At 44.6% G+C, this 23,580-nt stretch overlaps 1 protein-coding gene across 1 annotated transcript, besides 3 other annotated features; it reads left to right on the top strand.

Annotated features, from left to right (window-relative positions):
• The first annotated feature begins 395 nt into the window (after positions 1-395).
• Positions 396-23,331, top strand: CPA2 (carboxypeptidase A2). The gene is made up of 11 exons (NM_001869.3): positions 396-485; positions 2,462-2,543; positions 3,202-3,336; positions 4,226-4,321; positions 6,609-6,710; positions 8,682-8,780; positions 10,161-10,271; positions 11,359-11,449; positions 12,996-13,195; positions 15,637-15,721; positions 23,093-23,331. Exons 1-11 carry the CDS (start codon positions 415-417, stop codon positions 23,278-23,280), a joined length of 1,260 nt encoding a protein of 419 aa, NP_001860.2. The 5' UTR covers positions 396-414; the 3' UTR covers positions 23,281-23,331.
• Positions 5,861-6,513: an enhancer, noted in NCBI's record as "NANOG-H3K27ac-H3K4me1 hESC enhancer chr7:129912168-129912820 (GRCh37/hg19 assembly coordinates)". NCBI's record gives its function as "activates a minimal SCP1, AML or CMV promoter by ChIP-STARR-seq in primed H9 embryonic stem cells {active_cell/tissue: H9 hESC(primed)}" and the evidence as "EXISTENCE:reporter gene assay evidence [ECO:0000049][PMID:30033119]".
• Positions 6,514-7,165: an enhancer, noted in NCBI's record as "OCT4-NANOG-H3K27ac-H3K4me1 hESC enhancer chr7:129912821-129913472 (GRCh37/hg19 assembly coordinates)". NCBI's record gives its function as "activates a minimal SCP1, AML or CMV promoter by ChIP-STARR-seq in primed H9 embryonic stem cells {active_cell/tissue: H9 hESC(primed)}" and the evidence as "EXISTENCE:reporter gene assay evidence [ECO:0000049][PMID:30033119]".
• Positions 11,602-11,896: an enhancer, noted in NCBI's record as "tiled region #5425; K562 Activating DNase matched - State 12:CtcfO, and HepG2 Activating non-DNase unmatched - State 13:Ctcf". NCBI's record gives its function as "activates a minimal TATA promoter and a strong SV40 promoter by Sharpr-MPRA in K562 cells, with weaker activation in HepG2 cells {active_cell/tissue: HepG2 | K562}" and the evidence as "EXISTENCE:reporter gene assay evidence [ECO:0000049][PMID:27701403]".

Genomic DNA, 23,580 nt, shown 5'->3' on the forward strand with positions numbered 1-23,580 from the left:
ATGTGATAGACAGGATGCCTGAGTAATTACTATAAATGCTCTGGCCTTTTTTTTGTGTGTGTGTCAGAGACCCAGAAAAGACTTTAACCTCTAGGTCTATTAATCTGGCTTCTATCACAGGGTAGCTAGTGGCGTTTTATGGTCTCAATCATAACTATATTGCCCTTGGTATGCTCTAGCAATTTTGTTCTCTTTCCATCAAAGTTTGTTATCTTATCCTAGGAATGGAACATGTACACATTGGTGATATCACACAGGTGGATGTCTACAACCTTGAGAATTTCACATGCAGGTGGGAATTTTCCCATGTGGGAATTCACGTGAGTTCTCAGAAGGCCAGCAGATCACCCTCAGCTGCCATCCCTACAAATAAAGTTCAGGAAGGACTCTGAATTCTGGACTCCAGGAAAACCCATGGCCATGAGGTTGATCCTGTTTTTTGGTGCCCTTTTTGGGCATATCTACTGTCTAGAAACATTTGTGGGGTAAGTTATGCTTTCTGGTGCTTCTTTGAATTTTACTTACCTGATTGATGGAGGCTTTGATTGTTACAGAGTAAATGGGTATAAGTGTTCAGTGTTTTCAGAGAAGTTCTCTTAGATTTGGGGATAAGTCAATAGTGTGAAAAAAAGGAGTGGATGATCAAAAAGGAGGTGAATGACATTTAAAGGAAAAGACAAAAGTGAAAACTGAACACACATAACCCTATTTCTCTCTGTCCTTACTCATTTTTCCCTCCAGTGATCAGACTGTAGGGATGATAGACATCAGGGAAAATACAGCTGTGTGGCCATTTGTTCCAGGCAACTCAGCGGGTGTCAATGCTACTCTCCCACCTCCTCCTGCTCTTCTGGGCTTTACCATCCACGTTAGCCCTTGTGCCCTAACCCCCGATCTTTAGATTCAGCACCTAGGTGGTGGAACCTCATGAAGTAGAAAGGCCAGGGCTATAGATTTCAGCTCAACTCCTCCTCTCCTGGCTTTGGAGGACTCATCTTTGCTCCAAAGTACTTTGCTTCATGATTCTATGAAGGGTTTCAGGCAGCATTTTTTGAAGAGTGGTCCAGGGAGCTAAGAAAGCAATCAAATAAGTTTGGTCCCAAAAAGCCACTGGTCAAATAAATGTGGGAATCAGAGGATTAAACAAACTATAGGATTTCTAGGAGCCTTGGCTAAATCAGTGTGCATTATAAATCTATAAGAGGGGATCTAGGTTGCAGCATGTACTCTTTTTTTTAATCATAAACTACCTACTGCTCCCAGCTTGCCCTTTCTTTCTTTCTCTTTCTCTTTCTTTCTTTCTTTCTCTTTCTTTCTTTCTTTCTTTCTTTCTTTCTTTCTTTCTTTCTTTCTTTCTTTCTTTCTTTCACTGAGTAACTCAAAGAACTACTATTCTTTAGAACACACACCAGGAAATATGACCCTGTTGTATTACTTTTCTCAGTGCCTTCCCATTTTAAAGGAGGACTCCTGGGAGTCCATGCATTAACCGAAAATAATGAGACTTAAATGGAAGAATTTTCAGACCATTTGTGGCAGGTGAGCCTCGAAGAGCTCACATTCCATCACTTCTGTATTCCACTGGAGTTCGTAGGAAATTGCATGGAGCTTGGTTTCAGAAGACCCATATTCTGGTCCCTGTACATGGCTCATTGTATTGATTCCTTCCCCACTGCACAAACAGTTGGGGCAGTGACTTAGGAAGTCTGCCTACGTGGAGAAAGGCTAGAAGGGGAAACTCTGTCACCAAGGGAACTCTTCCTAAAGAGATGTGCTTGATTGTTTTGAGATTTCTCTTTCCTGTTCATCCTTCATTCCCTATTAAGGGGGTGTGTGTGTGTGTGTGTGTGTGTGTGTGTGTGTGTGTGTTTGTAAAGAGAGGCACGGCACATAATTTGTCAGGGTCCCAACTATCTCTGGCCATGCCCCATGTTTGGGCCCCATGAATGGGGTCTGGGGATGGAACCTTGATACATTTTCAGTTGACAAAATCAAAGAACAAACAAAACCCCCAAAACCATTAAAAACAAAATCTTAGGACTACCCACATATGAATTGTTTCCTCTTACAAGCACCAAATTATTCCACTTTTTAAAAACTTACTTCTGAACAACAGGAACAGGCAAGTATTAAAAGCTATAACACTCCACAAGCAGCAGGTTTTATTTGACTCATTAGCTATGGGAAAGGTAACTTTAATGGCAGGCTTCCTGCTAGGAGCAGGTACACCTATTCATTATTATTTAGATAACATTTCCTGGGAGGAAATAACGCCATTCTATCACCTTCTCATTCTGGCGATGTGGGTTTAGTATACTATTTATTAGTTTCTGGATTGTCACAGAGATTATTGACTGTTGCATTAATCTGTTATACGCAGAGACTAACAGGTGCAGAAAGCAACAGGAAACAGTGTCCAGGTTTTGCTTTTAAGGTCATATTTGTGGTTAATTTTCTTTAGAGACCAAGTTCTTGAGATTGTACCAAGCAATGAAGAACAAATTAAAAATCTGCTACAATTGGAGGCTCAAGAACATCTCCAGGTATTTGATCTAGTGGGAGTTGCTGTTCCCAGAATGAATACAGTTAAACATGATTGAGCTCTATTTTCGACTGTATTCTGACTCCCATGACATAGTGTGAAATGCTAACTCATGCAGCTGGGGTTCTGAAAACCTGGGCTCTAGTCCCAACTACAGGACATTGGGCAAGCCACCTACCTTCCCTGTGTCTCATTTTCTCACTCAGAGTAATGGCGATAAATATGCCGTTCTTCTATCTCTCAGGTTTATTGTAAGAATGAGAAGAGATATCAAATGTGAAAGTTACTTTCAAAAATTAAACACCTTTAGTGCATATTTCCCTTATAAAATAATTTATAGCATTTATATCCCATTATTAAATGAATTGGATTGCTAGAATCCCAGCTTAAAAAAACTGCCATCGTTTTAATAATCTTTTCCTTCTGCCAGTTTTAATATCTAGCCATAGGGGCAGGGGAAACAATATAATGGATTTGCTGACACATGGATATTTAAAAGCCCTTGTTGCAATATCATAGTGATTCCACAATGATTCCAAAACTTGTGGGCTCAAGATAAAGTGGATGCAAATTGATTCCTAGAAATCTATCAGTGCTGAACTGTCCATTCCCCAGAACAGCCCATTCATTTCCTTGGCTTGGACTTTTATCCCTTTCAGCTTGATTTTTGGAAATCACCCACCACCCCAGGGGAGACAGCCCACGTCCGAGTTCCCTTCGTCAACGTCCAGGCAGTCAAAGTGTTCTTGGAGTCCCAGGGAATTGCCTATTCCATCATGATTGAAGACGTGCAGGTAATTATGCCATGGACTCGCCTTCCTGCAGCTTGCTGGGCCACATGAACGTCAGCTCAGTTCCATCTTCTTTTATGCTTGAGTACTCTCTGCAGGGAAGGGACCTGTGGGTGCCACTAGGACCTTCCAGCAGTCTGGGCTCCCCTTGCAAGGTGGGTAGGAGGGCACTGTCTCTCTCTCTTTTGCATTTGGCACATGCAGAATATGGTAACAAAGAATTTAAGGGAAAGGGCAAAAGACAGCCTACAGCATGAAATATAAAGTGCAAACCAAAGGATGTTAGGCAGAAGAAGGAGGAGAAGGACTCTCATTCTGTTGCCCAGGCTGGAGTGCAGTGGCACGATCTTGGCTCACTGCAACCTCTGTCTCCCAGGCTCAAGCGATTCTCCAGCCTCAGCCTCTCCAGTAGCTGGGACTACAGGCATGCACCATCACGCCCAGCTAGTTTTTGTATTTTTAGTAGAGGTGGGGTTTCACTGTGTTGCCCAGGCTGATCTCAAACTCCTGGCCTCAAGTGATCTGCCCGCCTCGGCCTCCCAAAGTGCTGGGATTACAGGTGTGAGCCACCGACTCTGGCCTGATTTAGTTTTTGTTTAGAGGTTAACTCTTAACACAGGCCCTGAGCTCCCAGAAAGGTAGGATGAGCCATAAGACTGTGCCTGCAAACCTACCCTGGCACACCTGCAGCATCTGGCTGGTAGGAAGTCCCATGAATGCTCCATCCCCTTTCACAGTGGGGCCAGAATAAGGGAAAGTCATGACCTCAAAGCCTACAGGACAAGAAGAGGAAAGCTTGGTACTGGGGACCCGAGTGTTACCCTTTCCTTCACAATTACAGACTGAAATGCATTGCTGTAAACCAGTCATAGATAGAATTGTTTTATCTTAGGTCCTGTTGGACAAAGAGAATGAAGAAATGCTTTTTAATAGGAGAAGAGAACGGAGTGGTAACTTCAATTTTGGGGCCTACCATACCCTGGAAGAGGTAGGTGTTTCAAAATGAACATCACGGAGACGGGCCATTCTCTCCTCTAAGGACAAAGCTCATACTTCCACGTGGTGATTTAATGGCCTAGAAATTATTCTATTATTTTCTAACTTCTCCAAGTTTCCTTAGGATTTCACAGCCAGTACCAGTATCACTGGCTTCACACCTACTCCTGCTTCATGTAGGGCCTGAAGTCCACTTGCCCATCTCAACAGCCACCCACTGTGGAGTGTCTAAAGGGTACCCACAAGCAGCTCCCTCAGGCTGGTGCTCTTGCCCTAAGCCCCCTTACTGACTTCTGACCTGTGCTGCCCACAAAGCCAGGGAAGCCATCATGGCTGCCACTGACGATGCAATCGGGGCACAGAGCCAGGTGAGAGATGTGCTTCCGGGCTGCCACTGATGATGGAATCAGGGACCACCTTGACGCCTCTGACTTCCATCCAAGTGTTACTGGTGGAGGGTGTCCAGGTTCTTGGCGTCTTGAACAAATAATTGGACAAAACGCACAAACAAAACAAGGAAGGAATGAAGCAACAAAAGCATATATTTATTGAAAACAAAAGTACACTCCACAGGTTGGGAGCAGCCCGAGCATAGGGGCCCAAGAGCCCATTACAGAATTTTCTGGGATTTAAATACTCTTTAGAGGTTTCCCATTGGTTACTTGGTGTACACCCTACGTAAATGAAGCAGTAGCCTGCGATCAGTGTGATTGGTTGCAGAAGGTGGCCAGTCAGAGGCTGAAGTGAAGTTACAAAATTATACTCCTATGCAAATGAAGACTTGGCTTGCAACCAATCTGATTGGTTGCAGGAGGGGACCAATCAGAGGTACTTTCAATTTTTCATCTGCCGTGCCAAGAAGCGGGGGTTGGTGCAAAGGGAGTAGCCTCTGGTCCTTTTGTTACTTGGGCGTGGAAAGTTGGAGTTTTCTTTTTGATTTAGTTCTAGGGAGTCAGCCTGAATTGGCCTTGGGTTCCCTGCCTCCAGACCCTATTCTTCTGCCTCACAGGGATGTGCTCTCTAAGACCTCATGGCAGCAAAGCCTCATGAAGTCTCTGCTGTCTTTCTTGGGCTTTGTTGTTTCTGTGGAGACTATCCCCTTCCTGCATCTGCTACTCCATGCTGCTGTGGGGATCCTGGGCAGTGCTGCATTTACTTCTGTGGCACAGAGCTCTTCTCCAGGCCCACGGGAATCTATCTGCACTGACTTAAGAGTCGAGGGATGGAAAGGGGCCGGAGGGGATGGAGGTTGTAGGGCCAAGGGGTGGCATGGGGAGTACGAAAGAGCCAGAGAAGAGGTATCTGGTAGGCACCAAGTCTCCAAGTTGGCAGTTTTTAAATGCAAAAAGCTTTAAACATTTTTTTCTCCTAATTTATGTGATGGAAAAACCTGATTTAACCTAAACTCATTTGGGAGCAAAATCTGACCTGAATTGCCTCACTGCTCATTTGTTTCACTGCCAGAAATAATATTAATGTGCTTGAATACGGAGCAATGTCCCGTGTGTAATAATATATACTTCCTATTACCCTTCTAAAATTCTCCCCTGAAAAAAATATCTTATTTGAAATATATATGGCCTCAAGGGTTTCAGATAGGGGACTGTGGACCAGCACAGAGAATAAGAAAGAAAAGGAAGTGAAGCAAACAAGATGCCCTCCCGCTCTCCCAGACAAACTGATGTCTGTCTCCTACAGAGTGCAAATACTGGCAACAGCTGGAGGGACTGACTTCCTCCCGCTAGCTCTCCAGACGCGCCCGGACACGTCTCAATCCCAGCAATGGACACAGCTTGGGTTCTCCAGATGCACAAAATTTCAATCGCCTTGAAAATAGGAGCTGGAGTAGCCGGTGGCCTTAGTGCGTCTGCAGCAGAAACCCCATTGTCCCTGGGCCTGATTTAGCCGGGAGACATTTTGTAGCGATCGCCTCTACATCCATTTTGGGGTTGAGGGGGCACTACCATTTGTGTTCCTCTGCTAACAAGGGCGAGAAACCCCACCTCAGGGCTGGGGTCGCCAAAAGCCACAAGTACCTCAGGGAAGTGTGCCATTTTGCTTTGCACAAAACTGCAAAGAGCCGGCTGGGCTGCAGCCCCTGCAGACACCGTCGGACTCAGCAGCACTCAGCTGGATCCAAACCCTCCGACCCTACAGCTCGGGCCGCGCTGCCCCCTCCGCTGTGTCCCAAGGGAATGGGGAAAATCACCAGGGGATCAGATCTCATGCAACAGATGGTTCACTCGCAAATGTCTATTTATTCACTTGAAACATTTCAGATTTCCCAAGAAATGGATAACCTCGTGGCTGAGCACCCTGGTCTAGTGAGCAAAGTGAATATTGGCTCTTCTTTTGAGAACCGGCCTATGAACGTGCTCAAGGTACACGGTGCAGGGACGGTTCTTCCTCTCGATGTTTCTAGAATCTCCCTCCTCCCAGGCTAGCCGGCAGTCCCAGCTTGTGCTACAGAGAGGCTCCTTTTTATTACTTTTTTTTTCTTTTCCTCCTAACCGGTCCTTGCTGGTTTTGAGTATCCACTCCCCCACCCCCGCCCCCTTCTTTTTCTTTCTCTCTGTTCCTGAGCAAGCTGACGCAGGTCTGCAGGAGTGAATTAATGCTCACGTCCTGAGAGATGAGCTCCTGGGGAACCGGGGCAAATGCGCCAATAGGAGCCGAGGAAGGGGGAGGTGCGGGCCGGGGGAGGTTGGGGGCTGGGGGCTGTAATTCAAGCTGGGAGTTCTCTGCCTCCCCTCCCCTTCTCTTTTTTTTCTTTCCTCTTTAAACACACACACACACACACACATACACGCGCACACACACACGCACACCAGTTAAAAAAGAAAAAGCACTAATTGCCTAAGCTGCATTTTTTTCTTTTTCTTTTTTTTTTTTTTTTTTGTTTTTTAAAGAAGAGTTCTGGTCGTATGCAGAAGGATGATGGACAACTAAACCCTAAACCGCAAAGACAAACGCCCTGAACGAAGATCTTTTGAAAAAGGATATAGATGAAAAAAGGTTAGGGTTTTACGCCATCTCGTAACCTCTGAAGTCTTTGTGCACATAATTTCAAGCTTTGCACTTTGTCCTCAAAAACAGTGAAAATTATTTCCCCAGATTTCCTAGAAAGAGTTTTTTAAGAGAAAAAAAAACCAAAAAGAGGTAATGTCACAACTCCTCGCTAAATTTGGAAACGTTATGGCTGGGAACCAACTGACTAACTGGGACAGATGGATTTCTCCAGAGCGTTTTTCCCAAAGCAGGCCTGAGAGGAGTGATTTGCCTACTTTATACCACTAGGATACATTTGCTAATGTTTACCTCCCTTCTTTCTTTTTATTTCGTCTACCCGCACCCCCCCTCCCCGCGCCGAGTTGGATCAGAAAACCCCAGATTCTCTTCCACCTTGGTCTTCCCTGGCCTTCCCTTTTCCTGCGTGGTTCGGCGGTGGAGGATGTTGTGTTTTTGAAAGTTCCCTGCTTTTTACATTTGAGCTCTTTGGAGGAAAAGGCACAAAACACTTTTAACTAAAACTCCTAGAACCCATGAACTGTAATTTTTAGCAAGGATTTGCATTTCTCATTTACCTTATCTGCTGTGTTTAGAATGCTGCACAGAGATAGAAGTTGATGGTGCAAAAATAATCTTTTCCTCTCCATTTACTGATCCAATTGGCAAAGCCACTGTTTCAAATAAAACTAAGTCACTTAGATCATAAAATTTAAACTCTGGAAAGTACCTCCGGAGGCTTGCTATCCTGTTTTTATGAAGGTCTCAAAAGGTTATCACAAGCATTTTTATAACAAAACACTATTATTGCATACATTTGGAAAATAGAGAAAAGAAAAAAGAAAAAAAAATCCTCATAATTCTAATTCCACAACTATAGGATAATAGCTATTAACAATCTGTTGTATATTTTTCTACTTTTTTCTCTCTTTTCTTTTTCCTTTTCTCTCTTCCTCCTTCTCCTTTTCCTTTTTTCTCATATGTATGTGTATGTATAAATGAACTAGTTTCTTTAAAAATAAAAATGAAATCTTGTAATCCATTTTTTTCCAATTTTCAGCATATGAAGATATTTTCATGTCATCATCTACAACGATTTTTTACAAACATCAGAGGAGAATTGTCTATGCCCCTCAGTCTGTGTTTACACTTGCATTCGAAGAAGGGGACAAAAGAAAATTCTCCTTAAATGAGAGTTAGTCGACAGCATCACTGTCTGTATTTCCTTCTCTGTCAATCACATCAAGAATAGAGAGAGGGACAGAGAAGGATGGTCTAGGGTAGAAAGGAGGCAACCAGGTGCCACGGCAGTGGAGCCGTTCACATTGCCACACTTGCTTTTGCAGTTCAGCACCGGAGGAGACAAGCCAGCTATCTGGCTGGATGCTGGGATCCATGCTCGAGAGTGGGTTACACAAGCTACGGCACTTTGGACAGCAAATAAGGTCATTTTGCCTAATATTCCTTGCTTATTTTGCCTTTCTGGGGTCAGGCCCACCAAAATCCATGACAGTCCCAGTGGTCCTGATGGCTGGCGCTCTCAGACAAAACCCTTCTCTTGTCACACGGGCTGGCAGTCAACCCATCCAGACTTTTTTGGTATTGCCCCATCCAGCACCCCAGGCTCCTCCCCTTGGGCAGGCCACTGTGCGCTGTGTTAAAAGGCACAGCGATGTGATGATTGCTGTTGAGTGAGAGAGAGGGGAAAAAAAAAAAGACTCAGTAAGCTAAAGAGATTGAACGGGTGGCCAGGGAGGACCCTTGGGAGCCAGATTTCAGCAAAAGAACCGACTAGAGAAAAATCACTTTGCTGCCTGGAACCCTGAGGGCTGAGGTGTGATATGCTAGAAATTTATAAAATCATGAAAGGGGGTCACCTGGAAAATACAAACAGGCGCAAGAAGAGTTAACCCACAGATCCAAAGTGGAGTTGGCTAAGGGTGTTTGGGTTGTTCTGAAAATTTCCCAAATTTGATTTTGAAGGTAGGGTGTAGTAAGATCTCTCTTCCACAAGTTTGTTGGCATTAGAGTCAGGAAATGGGGCTGGGTATGACCTAGTCTGGTATTTCTTAGGTAATTCAAAAATGACATGCTATAAATCAGAATGTTAATTCACGAGCAGAGGAAATCAATCCACATCAGATCATTCAAGCATGTGCAACCACGTGCATACCGACTGATACATTTTTCCCTTCAATTAAAATGCGGTTACCTTTAGGGTATTATGAAATGGATATTTAACAGTTGAATAATAATGCCTTAGGATGGCTGAGCACAGGAAATGAATAAATTTTAATCCAGCAGAAACTTCAACTCAACTGCGGTTAATGGCAAGTAAAAATGTAATTCCCCAAATGGAATTTAACTTGTTCTCTGTGTCTTTAGCAATGTCTCTGCATATTTAAGTAATCTGATGTTTGTTGTGAGTTCTTTTGGAAAGTTATCTCATGTAGGGATTAAGGAATACCAAACAAAATTTCTTTGGTGCATAGGTCCACATAAGTCACATATATCACTGCTCACTATTGCAAAATGTCTCACTGGGATGGATAGGAAGAATGTTACTGCTTTTGAAAGAGTAGATATATGATATCTGATTTTTACTCAATAGAAGTAAATTATTCTGATTAGAAATAAAAGTATAGACGCTAGCATATTCAACACATTAACATTGCAGGAGACCGGACTGCTGGATGCCTAGAAGACTTTCCTTGATCAATAGTGATCCCTGGTTCACATCTGGAAAAAACACTACCTTACTATTCTGTCCTGTGTTCCCAACAAAAGCGGTGTGTGAGGTTGACATGTATCTTGTCTTTGCTCAGATTGTTTCTGATTATGGAAAGGACCCATCCATCACTTCCATTCTGGATGCCCTGGATATCTTCCTCCTGCCAGTCACAAACCCTGATGGATACGTGTTCTCTCAAACCAAAGTAAGCCTGGATTTTGTTCCCTTCTTCAACAAGGACCTAAGGAGATGTGTAGGAACTTCAAAAGCAAAATAAAAATACTCATTCTTTTCTTGATTTACTCTAAATGGAATGTCTAATTTCTCAGTAGTCACCCGGAAATGAGGGTTAGAGAAGTGGTTATAATCACTTCTTATTCCAACACATGATGTCTTTATATGTTGCCTCAGCCAGAGCCCATTTCAGCTGTTAGGCTGGGCTATTAGAGCTCAGTGTTCACCATGAGTCATCTAGGAGATTTGTTCCAATTATCTCTGCAATTTTTTGTGGTAGGATTGATAGAAAAGAGGAGGCGGATGTTACCTGCTGACAATTAGATTGCAGTAGGATTTAGGTGGGCAGTACAGTACATCTAGCATTTTACTTAAAATCTGTGGGAGAAATCCTCCATAATATCACTTAAAAGAGTTACATGGTTTTTTTTTTCCCTTAAAATCTCATTACAATACACTATTGTAGCAACCATGACCCCACATATATTCAAGATGAATGACAGCTTCAAGTTTATTTTTAGAAAGAGCTAACTACGGTAGCGTTTTCAAAGACATTTTCAAAGAAACTGATACTAATACTAGTACTCATCCCATGAGATACCATATGAATCAAGGGTTCCATTGTCAAGACCAGGAAACACCGCCCACCGTATCCGTTTCTTAGAGGTTTATAAAAAACAAGGCATTAACAATCCTTAGAAGTTCTGAAGTAAGTTTACCAAGTTAGCTCCATATTTTCCCCAAATAGGCTCATTGCAGAACCCTCTCTTCTGCTTTTGGTTCTTGCTGTTGGCCTTGGACAGAACTAGGGTTCCATGGCACGTGTTTGGCAGGCGTTCATTTGAGGAGATGGGGGCGTATTCATGTCTCACTTTGGTGAGATGGCAGAGAAACTCCTAGCAGAACCTGTATGAGGACTGTCCAACACCTCCCCAAGCCAAGGGAAAGGAGTGTCCCAGAGAACTAGGGAAATTGACAGAATTCTAAAGGAACCTTCTGATCAGGCTGAATGACCCTCTTTCTTTTTTTCCATGTGCTTTTTGGGTGGGATCTGAAAGAATCGTATGTGGCGGAAGACCCGGTCCAAGGTATCTGGAAGCCTCTGTGTTGGTGTGGATCCTAACCGGAACTGGGATGCAGGTTTTGGAGGTGAGCGCAGGGACTTGCCCCCAGGGATGGTCAGCCCGTGGTCTGGCCCACAAGCTGGTTCAAATGGCCCTGCAGTGCATCAGCTGGCTAAGCCCATCCAGGATTTAAGCCATTTAAAAACCTCTTTGAAAAACACTTAACTAAATTCCCTTCACAGGAGCACAGTGCTGTCACAGAGCTCTGAGCAGCATTTAATATATTTTGTCTCACATCTTGGTTTTCCCACAAGCTGTCGCCCGGTTAGCCTTCTGTGCAGCGGGAGCAAGACTTTGCACAGTGGCGGGAGGACTCGGGAAGCCCTGAGCCAGCCACTAGAGGGGGATAGGATCTATTCCAAGGAGAAGCATTACATCATCTATGGATGCTTCGAGAAAGAAAACTAAAAAGAAGTACATACACACAGGATGGAGAAACTGACTTTCAAAACAGATTCAAATATAAAATGTGAGCTTGCTGCCCTGGCTTTGTGACAGCGCTTATGTTTTGGAGTTCCGTGTCAGGCTAGTTAGGGGCTCCTTTATGGCCTCAGGTACTGGTGAAAACCCCTTATGTTTCAGTAACCATAGAATTAAATTTTTTCCCCCTCACTAGGCTATGATAAAATTGAGGTCAGGAGCTGTGTCTTTTTCACTGTAGTATTCCTAACACCTAGCACAGTGTCTGCAACGCAGAAGGTAATCACTATGTATTTGTAAGACAAATTAATTAATTAGAGTTATGGAACTAAGACAGGACTGTAGAGAACTGCTACAGGATATGGATGAGTGGCAACTTCATTCATTGCTTTGACAATTCTTCTTCTTTTTTTTTTAGTGTAGTGGAAAAATAATTAAAGCACAATACTGAGCAATGGCCCACAGTTCAATGTCAATCCCCCCGATATTATTTTCATTAAATAATTTTAAAATAAGGTGACGTTTTGTCTGTATCACATGGGGAGCCTAGGGAATCCTGACCCCTACTCATCCCCTGGAAGTTTCTCTAGCAGTGAGAGCCCTGGCCAGGCCTACAATGGACCCATTTCAGTGGTCTTGAGCCACTCTAGTTGCTGAGAAAATCAAGGCCAAAGGTGGCCTTGTTGTCAAATGTAGTCATGATTTCCTCATTGCAGAAAGGGTGTCAGAGGTTCCTTGCATTTCTGGCTTTGTGCCTTGGAATTACAGATGCATAGAATCTTCTACTGTTGGACTCTAAGAATTGGATGAGATCCCAGAAAATGAACTTGCTAAACTCCCACCCAATGCAGGAATTCCATCCATAATATTAAATCTAGCTTTTCTTCCAATAACTCCTACAGAGAGGAGATGATCTAATTAGATGGCTCTTTCTACTGTATAGAGGAACCATATTTTTTGAAGAAGAGATGTGTCCAGAATCACTTCAGTTAGGCTTTCTGACTATAACCTTTGGAAGAGACTTGATCTAACACAATGACAATCTTGCCCCGACTTCCAGAGGAGAAAATTAGTGATGCATGGTGACCTCCTCCCTACAGTGTCTTCTTAGAGCTCACTGTCCTCACTGGGCTACTTCTGCATCTCCCCAGGACCTGGAGCCAGCAGCAACCCTTGCTCTGATTCATACCACGGACCCAGTGCCAACTCTGAAGTTGAAGTGAAATCCATAGTGGACTTCATCAAGAGTCATGGAAAAGTCAAGGCCTTCATTACCCTCCACAGCTATTCCCAGCTGCTGATGTTCCCCTATGGGTACAAATGTACCAAGTTAGATGACTTTGATGAGCTGGTGAGTTTCTGAAACTTAATTTCAGCCAAGCAACAAACATCCATTGTGTGGTCAAGTAAGTTTCAGGCATAAAGTCATGCCCTAAGGTGGAGGTGTACCATTACAGCAATGAATGAAACATAAGTTCAACCACCGAGAAGATTATGATGCAGCCAAAGGTTTGAAAGACTGATTTTGAACTTTCCTATATTAAGTTTCTTTGGGAAATAGAATTCATGAAGTTATTGTTACCTTAGTCTAGATGAGCAGGAGCCTGGTTTGAGCATAAATTCCCAGAACATGCTTTTCTGTTGCATATGGGGGAAAAAACCCTTGGATTTGGATATGAGGCTTTTGGATTGGTAGTCAAATGCTCCAAGCTGAGCAATTCTGCTTCTCAGCAACTTGTCTTATACTTTTCTGGGATCTTTGGCTCTGTGATCTACCATGACGATGCACTGGTGTATGATGTTGGGGGTAAAACACTCACTTCCCTAACTTGATACCTTCTGTCACCCTTCCTGTTTCAGGAATAAGCCAACTGGCCCCAGCCTTAGATCAGATGGTGACATCTCAGGAGGCTGTTCACAACTGAGCAAGAGCTATCCCCAGCTAAAAAGAATGTGCAAATTATTTCTAATTTGGCTTTTAGGCTTGGTTTATGAAACCCATATGTTAGAAATAAGCCCAGAGTTGGGACCTTTTTGTCAATTTACCTTCAAGTAGATTATTGTCAGCAGCCTCATGCAGAAATAGATTAGATTATTCCAATTCAAGTATGCCTTTCATCTCATCAGTTAGATTTGAGCGCTGTGAGGTTTTGATGGTCAGTATTACCATTCAAGGTCATATCAGGGAAAAAGAATGTTCTAAAATGTTCTTTTTTTAGACCTAGATGACCTTAAATTATCTAAACCTGTGCTCAAACCTCTAGCAGATAGTCAATCTAGGCTATGATTAGATGGCTTCCTGCCTTCAGGGGAGCCTATTCTGTGTTGGGGAAGGTTGTTAGTGTTCTTCTTTATAGAGAGCGAAATCTTTGTATGGTTTTCACCTATCAGCCCTGGTTTATCATCTGGTTCTACTGAGCAAGTTTATTTCCCTTTGAGAGGTGAATCCACTAATTACTTGAAGACCACCAGCCTGCTTCTCCTAGCTCTTACTCCTAAATAACCTCAGTTCCTTCAAGCATTCATATTATGGGCCCAAGTTCCCTTACTATTCTGGTCGCTGTTTTCTGAATATGCTTCTTCAAGGGTAGTGTCTTAATCTGTTTGCATTGCTGTAAAGAAATACCTAAGACTAGGTAATTTATTAAGGAAAAAGTTTTATTTGGATTATGATTCTGCTGGCTGGAAGATTGGGCATCTGGTGAGAGCTTCAGGCTGCTTCCCACTCATGGAAGGCAAATGGGAGCTGGCGTGTGCAGAGATCACACGGTGAGGGAGGAAGCAAGAGAGAGAGTCGGGAGGTGCCGGACTCTTTAACAACCAGCTTTCGAGAGAATTAATAGAGCAAGTACTCACTCCTAACTGTGAGGACTGCACCAAGCCATTCATGAGGGATCTATTCCCATGATCCAGACACCTCCCATTAGGCCTCACCGCCAATCTTGGGGATCAGATTTCAACATGAGGCTTGAGGGGAATACATATCCAAACTATAGCAGGTAGCTCCCAGAAGTGAATGTGAAATCAGTATTGTGGGTTACCCAGCACAGAGCAGGGTGTGACCATAACTACCCTCAGCCAGACCGTGCACTTCTGCACATTCAGTTGAGGATCACATTAGTTTTTTGGCAGTAGCCCTGTGATGTTGACTCATGTTGGGCTCATTGACAAGAGTAACCCCCAGGCTCTCCAAGGATTCTACCAAGCCAGGTTTCCCCCATCTGGTAATTGTACAGTTGTTTTCCTGGACCCAAGTTCAAGACCTTACATTTATCCCTGACAAGGACAGTAAAGCCTCAATCAGTCAAAATTGGAACCCTCAAATAATGGAAAATATTTTTCTGAGCTCTACTTTTTGGAAAAAGAGACAGCCATAGGGAAATAAGCCAATGTAGGGATCTAGTAAAAGAAAAGTCAACTTCCCACATATGTCCTGGGGTCAGTCCACATTCTCTTTAGACCCCTTAAATCTACCCTAATTTTAGCCACACTCCTGAACAAAGAGAACTGGTGGCAAAATAATGAATCCTTGAGTGTTGCAAACACCAGGATGATCAAATAGACAATGAGGACCTTCACGTTGTATTTTCAAAGCCAATAGAAGTGAACTTACTTCTATTGGAGAAGTAAGCTTACTTCACAGTGAAAATGGTTCAAATAAAAAGGGTGTTGTGCCTTCACCTCAATTAACTAGACAGTCTAGTTAGAGCATTCTATGTTCTGCTGTCGGGCAACTGATCTCCCAAGAGACAAGTGTTATCTGTCTACCTTTCTTTGGTTCTCTTACTCTAGAGTGAAGTGGCCCAAAAGGCTGCCCAATCTCTGAGAAGCCTGCATGGCACCAAGTACAAAGTGGGACCAATCTGCTCTGTCATCTGTAAGTATCCAATGTGCTGGAAGTTTTTACAAATGACCCACTAAGATGGCAGGCACCGTGTGAGTTTGAGCCAAAACTTTTAAATACCTTTATTGAAAGGGATAGGTCTTCATGCATGGAACCCAACCTTCCCCAATTTCCCTCAGTGAATCTAGTCTCCTCCATGAGATACTTACTGTGTGATGGCCAGAACAAAGAACTCCCTAAGTATATGTTTTGTGCCCTCTCCTGTGCTTGTTCAGATCCTTACAGCTCACTCTCATTCTGTAGAATTTGTTTATCTAAAAATAAGCCTTTATCAAGACCTGGCTCTTTGTTTTTTTTTTCTTTTTCTTTTTTTTGAGATGGAGTCTCACTCTGTTGCCCAGGCTGGAATGCAGTGGCTTGATCTCAGCTCACTGCAACCTCTACCTCCTGGGTTCAAGCACTTCTCCTGTCTCAGCCTCCCAAGTAGCTGGGACTACAGGTGTGTGCCACCATGCCCAGCTAATTTTTGTATTTTTAATAGAGACGGAGTTTCACTACATTGGTCAGGCTGGTCTCGAACTTCTGACCTCAGGTGATCTGCCCACCTCGGCCTCCCAAAGTGCTAGGATTACAGGCACGAGCCGCTGTGCCTGGCCTAAGACCTGGCTCTTTTATTATCTTCCCTTTCCAGGCTAAGAGGGGTTCATGCCCTGAGAATTCCATGGACTGCGGGGGCAGAATGGGTGTGACTCTTGAAGAGGACCCAGGTGGTTCCGTGGATAGACTCTGCTGCAGCCATGTGTTGATGCAGAGTATGTGGAGATGGAGAAGGAGAAGTCAGGAATAGCGGCAGTGTGAGGAATAAGTCTGGGGAGCCTGCCGTCAGACGTTCTAGGCCCTCCTCTTCCCTAGTTGATTGAGATAAAAACAAGAAACTACTACAGTGCTTTGGGAAATCCCAGTGCACCCTTGTGCAGGTTCTGAATCCTTCAAAGGCACGCTCCTTTCCTTATGGACAAAGCTGGAAACTCAGGACCACACAGTTCCATGCCCAGGAGTTCCCTAGTGCTTCCATGCCCAAGGATCCTTTGGAAACCAATGCCTTTAATAGGCACCCATTCTGTTTTTCTTTTTTTTTTGGAGATGGAGTTTTGCTCTGTCACCCAGGTTGGAGTGCAGTAGCACCATCTTGGCTCATTACAATCTCCAACTCCCAGGTTCAAGGGATTCTTGTGCCTCAGCCTCTGGAGTAGCTGGGATTACAGGTGCCCGCTACCACACCCAGCTTATTTATTTATTTATTTATTTGTATTTTTAGTAGAGAGAGGGTTTCACCACATTGGCCAGACTGGTCTCGAATTCCTGACCTCAAGTGATCTGTCTGCCTCTGTCTCCTAAAGTGCCGGGATTACAGACGTGAGCCACCATGCCTGGCCACCCATTCTAACAGACTTTTAAATTAAGTATCTATTATATGTTAAGCATTATGCCAAGCACTGGAGACATAATGTGCCCACACAGAACTCTTTAATAGAAGAGATGAACAGGAAGGCAAATGAACTTTTGTATGATGTGTGCAATAGTAGGCTATACATGGTACAGAAGTATTAGAAAGTCGGGGGATCCGATGGAAGTGGAGTCAGGAAAAACTTCATGTAAGAGGAGGGTAGGGTTGTAAAGACTGGTTGCCAGGTAGCTAGAGAAGGAGAAAAAGGATGGGGCATTCTCATAGCCAACAGCATATGCAAAGGCATAGAAGTATAAAATTGCGTGATGGGTTCTGGGAGCTACAAGTAGGTTGAGATCGCTGAAATGAAAGAGGAAGAAAAGGGAGTTGGGGAAGTTCAGGGTTTTGTGTGCCGTGGTAAGGAGTTTAGGTTTAATCCAGAGGATTCTAAAAGCCATCGGGGGGTTTTCAGCAGGACGGTGAGGGAATTGAGGCATTGTGTTTAGCTAAAACATAGCAGCAGTGTGGATGGAGTGATGAGGGACTGCAGTAGAGACATCCCATAGGAAGAGGAGGAGGAGTTCAGGTGAGAGACAATGGCCCAAACTACAGCAGGTCCAGTGACGATGGAAGAGATTTAGGAGATAAAGCCAAGAAGCTTTGTCATTTATTGGATGGGGAGAGGTCCTCACTGAAAGTCATTGGTGCCACTCACTGAGGGAGAAGTCCAGGAAGGTGAAAGAGGGGTGAGGTTGCAAAGATAATGAGTTCAGCTGTGGACATATTGAGGCTGAGCTCCTTGTAGGGTATTCAAATGGAGATGGTCTGTAGGTTTTGGACTACATGCCCTGGGATTCTGTGCAGAGAGAGATTTGGGAAGAGTTGGCATAGAGTGGGTGGTTGGACCAGTAGAGCAGGGGGAACATTTGGAGTGAGAGGAACCCTGGGCAAAGCAGGGAGCAAGGTGTTAGGCAGCAGAAGGGGTTAGCAGCAAGGGCTGGGCAGAAAGGCAGAGAACCCTGGATGTCAGAAACCAGGGGAGAAGTAATTATTAAAAAGGAGGCAGGCCGGGCGCGGTGGCTCACGCCTGTAATCCCAGCACTTTGGGAGGCTGAGGCGGGTGGATCACGAGGTCAGGAGATCAAGACCATCCTGGCTAACACAGTGAAACCCTGTCTCTACTAAAAATACAAAAAATTAGCCAGGCGAGGTGGCGGGCGCCTGTAGTCCCAGCTACAGGCTGAGGCAGGAGAATGGCGTGAACCCCGGGGGGTGGAGCCTGCAGTGAGCCAAGATCGTGCCACTGCACTCCAGCCTGGGCGACAGCGAGACTCCGTCTCAAAAAAAAAAAAGAAAAAGAAAAAAATAAAAAGGAGGCAGCGGTCAACAATGGTGAAGGCCATGAAAAGTCAACTAAGATAAGGACAAGACATTTTCCAGTGAATTTTCATCACTAGCTTATTGGTGACCTTAACCCAGAGCAGTTTCAGAAGAGTGGATAAGGGAAGGAGAGCAGAATGGAAGCCTTTTTTCTTTTTGAGATAAGAGATATATTTATTGACTGTGGGAAAGAGCAAATAAAGAGGGAGAGGTGGAACATACAGGAGAGAGAAGAAATGACCAGTGCAGTGAGGTTCCAGAGCTGGGGACAGGAGGACGAGCAGAGGTGGGCAGAAGCTGTGGCTCAGGATGGAATGAGAGGAGCATGTCTTTGAATGTGTTGTGGGCATGGATATAGCCACAGCCATAGGAGGGGTGATGGCGGGAATCACGGGAATGCACCCGTGCTAGTCATGATTTTCTTTTTTTGAGACAGAGTCTCGCTCTGTCACCCAGGCTGGAGTGCAGTGGCGCAATCTTGGCTCACTGCCACCTCCGCCTCCTGGCTTCAAGAGATTCTCCTGCCTCAGATTCCCAAGTAGCTGAGATTACAGGTGTGTGCCACCACGTGAGGCTAATTTTTGTATTTTTAGTATAGATGGGGTTTTGCCATGTTGGCCAGGCTGGTGTTGAACTCCTGGCCTCAAGCGATCCACCCACCTCGGCCTCCCAAAGTGCTGGGATTACTGGTATGTTCAGCTTTTTAAAATTAACATCATTTCGGCCGGGCGCGGTGGCTCACGCCTGTAATCCCAGCACTTTGGGAGGCCGAGGCGCGTGGATCATGAGGTCAGGAGATTGAGACCATCCTGGCTAACAAGGTGAAACCCCGTCTCTACTAAAAATACAAAAAATTAGCCAGGCGCTGTGGCGGGCGCCTGTAGTCCCAGCTACTCGGGAGGCTGAGGCAGGAGAATGGCGTGAACCCGGGAAGCGGAGCTTGCAGTGAGCCGAGATTGCGCCACTGCAGTCCGCAGTCCGGCCTGGGCGACAGAGCGAGACTCCGTCTCAAAAAAAAAAAAAAAAAAAAAAAATTAACATCATTTCCTGTAAAGTTTTATGAATTTACATTCTAGTTTTTTGTTATTCCATGATGTTGCTATATCCCAGTTATTGAATCTTTGGATTGTTTCATCTTTATGCTAAACAGTGCTACTATAAACATGTTTGTACCAACTCCTTTTTCTCTTAGATGATCTTTTTGGAATATATTCCTGAGGCAAGATTGTCAAGTTAAATGGAATGAACAGCTTTGGCGCTCATGTTGCTTTTTTTTTTTTTTTGAGATGGAGTCTTGCTCTGTCGCCCGAGCTGGAGTGCAGTGGCGTGATCTTGGCTCACTGTAACCTCCGCCTCCTGGGTTCAAGCAGTTCTCCTGCCTCAGCCTCCTGAGTAGCTGGGATTACAGGCACGTGCCACCACGCCTGGCTAATTTTTGTATTTTTAGTAGAGGCAGGGTTTCACTATGTTGGTCAGGCTGGTCTCAAACTCCTGACCTTGTAATCTGCCCTCTTTGGCCTCCCAAAGTGCTGGGATTACAGGCATGAGGCACCGTGCCCGGCCTCTTGTTACATATTTTTTAGGCGGTTCTCTGGGAAGACTGATCTGCTCACAGTTGCTGAGACTTTTTTAACCATGTTCCACATGAGATTGTCCTCACTTTCATCAGGGATACCCCCAGGGAGAAGGGCCTTCTGAGTGGTGGCAGTGGGGACAGAGGATGGACCTAGCTTGAGACATGATGGCAGCTTAATACTGAGGAATGAATGCTTTTGCTTGGCAGCCTTTGAGTGGAGGCTTGAGTTCAGAGTGTCAGCCGAATAGCATTGTGTATCCCCGAGACCCCTACATAGGTCTCAGCCATTTTATTACAAGGAATCTAGCTTTTCATCCACCTTATCTGGAGGTATTTACTAGTAAGATAGACCTTGGAAGGCTGAGGTTTGGTATGTTTTCTTTGGTGAGGTCACAGAAATGGAAGAGATTTCCAATAAGCAGGTGTAGGATTTGCTGTATGATCTTTTGGAGCCCGACTGTGAATGGCCCACCAAGTTCTAGCCACATCATTGTCCACAGCTGACTCTTATCCTGGCCTCATTCCAGCTTGGACAAGCTCTACCTCTAAGGACTAGTTTTAACTCAGCACTTTTTGCTTCCTGCCCCAGGTCAGTATGCAGCTCTGGGCAGAACACCTGCCTCACTCCACCCAAGAGATGGCTGTATGGTTGTAGTGGGTGAGATATTTCCTGGGCAGCTTCCCATCTGGAAAGGGCTTTGAGGAGCTGTGCTACAGTAGGTGTTTGGTTCAGAAGTTGTTCTTTTTTTAAAAAAAAATTTTTTTTTTTTTGAAACAGAGTCTTGCTCTGTCACTAGGCTGGAGTGCAATGGGGCGATCTTGGCTCACTGCAACCTCCACCTCCCGGGTTCAAGCAGTTCTCCTGCCTCAGCCCCCTGAGTAGCCGGGATTACAGGTGCATGCCATCATGCCTGGCTAATTTTTGTATTTTTAGTAGAGATGGGGTTTCACCATGTTGGCCGGGCTGGTCTTGAACTCCTAACCTCAGGTGATTCACCCACCTTGGCCTCCCTAAGTGCTGAGATTATAGGAATGAGCCACCACACCTGGCCCAGAAGTTAGTTATTCTTTGAATTCTTTCTCAGAGAGGCATAGGGGGGCAAAACAAAAACCAAAAAACAAAACAAAACAAAAAAACCCACATAGCTTGGGTACAGAGCCCTGGGTTTGAGTTATAGCACTGCCACTTTGGAACCAAGTAGCCATGGTCCAGTCACTTATTCTCCCTTGGTTTCTTATATCTGTGGAATAGGTTGTTGAGAGGCTCAAAAGCTATTATGTGGAATACAAGTGTTCCCTAATTCTACAGCACTATGTAAACGTTGATTGTTAGTTTCCTGGTGAATGCTCTCCCACAGATAACTCCAGTCCTTAACGTGGCCTAACTTTTTTTTATTGGATCCTGGTCATTTATTGACAATGATAGTTACAAACATAACTGACATTTATTGAATGCTTATTCTACATACATTATCCTAGCTCCTTCACTTAATATCCCTGTTTTTATTTTATTATTTTATTTAGTTTTTTAGAGACAGGGTCTCACTCTGCTGCCCAGGCTGGAATACAGTGACAGGATCATGGCTCACTGTAGCCTGGACCTCCTGTGCTCCAGCAGCCCTCCCGCCTCAGCCTCCTGAGTAGCTGGGACCACAGGCATGTGCCACCACATCTAGTTCATTTTTTAAAAAATTTTTTTGTAGCGACAGGGTCTCGCTATGTTGCCCAGGCTGGTCTCAAACTCCTGGGCTCAAGTGATCCTCCTGCCTTGGTCCCCAAAGTGTTGGCAGAGATCCACGATGCCTTGCCACTTAATCTCTTAATCTCAGTTTCCTCATCTGTAAAATGGGAATAATGCTAGTACCTACCTAGAGATTCACAACCAGTTTAACATAGTGCCTAGCACATTGACACAGCCAATAGTGTCATCACAACCATTATGCCATTTAATTCTCACTCCCCTGTGAAACAAGTAGTAATATCATCCCTATGTGACAGGTGAAGCATCTGGAAATAGATGACTTGCTTTAGGTCACTCAGATAATGATTTGTAGGGTTGGGATTCTATCTGAGACCAGTATTCTGTCTACAGTTGACCTCTTAGTGTGATTGGCTGTGTCATGTAGACACACCAAAAGGTATGAGTTGGTAATTTTGGTCCAGGGAAGATTCAGTTCAAATCAGCAACCATTTAGTATTTATTATTTACCAGGCATTAATTTCCAAGCTGCTCTGCTGGGTGAAGGCAAAGACAAAAATCATGGGCGTTGACAATATTAATTCACAATATTAACCTCTAGCCCTACTCTTTTCTGGTACAACCTCCCTGGTCTTTCCAGCCCCATTCTTAGGGACTAGGTAGCTTCCGACATCTGTGCCTCAGCCGAGTCCTCCTGTGACCTCTAACTGCCCTTCCTGGGAGGGGCCACAGGGCCGGTCCATTGCTCGGCTTTTCTGAGTCATGACTGACTTGTAAGTTAATGCCATCTTCCTTCTTCATCTGTCACATCAGCGGCCACACAGATCTCAGGTGCACATTACTGTGTTGGCTGAACCCACCACACAGAGGTGCTGTACCTGCAATTTGATAGCAGAGCAGAGAGTGCTCCACCCTTAATGCTCAAAGTCCCCTGAGGGTAGGGACCAAATCTCTTACTGCATTTGTAATCCCTCCACTCCCACTAGAGAAAACCATGTCTGTGCCTTCTAAAGAAGGAAGTGGTGTGGCCTACCTAAGGTGGAGAAGAGGCCACTTAGGATGGCGTGGGCTCCTAAGAGCACTGAAGGAAGGCTCAGTTCAGTGTCCGCTGAATAACACCTTTTGCTTTTCAAATTATTGTGTTTTTTCATAAATGTGACCCTCTACTAAACTCTCCCCCCTCTTACAGTTCACACCTAGGGGCCTGGCTTACCTATGATAGTAGAATTTAATATAGAGGTTCCATTGCGTGAAGGCTAGTGGTAGTCGTGTAACCAAACTTTATTCTCGTTTGCACTTCAGACCAAGCCAGTGGAGGAAGCATTGACTGGTCCTATGATTATGGCATCAAGTACTCATTTGCCTTTGAACTGAGAGACACAGGGCGCTACGGCTTCCTCTTGCCAGCCCGTCAGATCCTGCCCACAGCCGAGGAGACCTGGCTTGGCTTGAAGGCAATCATGGAGCATGTGCGAGACCACCCCTATTAGGGCCCTGGGGAAGAAACAAGAGCCATTAAAATCTCTTTGGTTTGAAGCAAAGTTGGGTTGTGTTGTTTATTTTTCTAAGCCTGATCTGGCAGCACCGTTTCTCCAGTTTCTGCTGCCCTCAAACACAACAAGTCATGGCATTGTACCCCTTCATCTTTTAGAAAATCCATCCTGGGGCCAGGCGTGGTGGCTCACCTGAAATCCCAGCACTTTGGGAGGCTGAGGTGGGACGACTGCTTGAGCCCAGGAGTTTGAGATCAGCCTGGGCAACATGGGGAGACCCCATCTCTAAAAAGAATA

The sequence above is a fragment of the Homo sapiens genome, chromosome 7, assembly GCF_000001405.40.
Source record: "Homo sapiens chromosome 7, GRCh38.p14 Primary Assembly".
Lineage (NCBI taxonomy): Eukaryota > Metazoa > Chordata > Mammalia > Primates > Hominidae > Homo > Homo sapiens.

What these genes read in the sequence shown, in the direction of transcription:
- CPA2 (NM_001869.3), top strand. Translation starts at nt 415, where the DNA reads ATGGCCATGAGGTTGATCCTGTTTTTTGGTGCCCTTTTTGGGCATATC. An exon ending in GGCCTATGAACGTGCTCAAG is followed by an intron (nt 6,711 to 8,681) that starts GTACACGGTGCA and finishes TTGCTTTTGCAG; the next exon opens with TTCAGCACCGGAGGAGACAA. An exon ending in CACTTTGGACAGCAAATAAG is followed by an intron (nt 8,781 to 10,160) that starts GTCATTTTGCCT and finishes GTCTTTGCTCAG; the next exon opens with ATTGTTTCTGATTATGGAAA.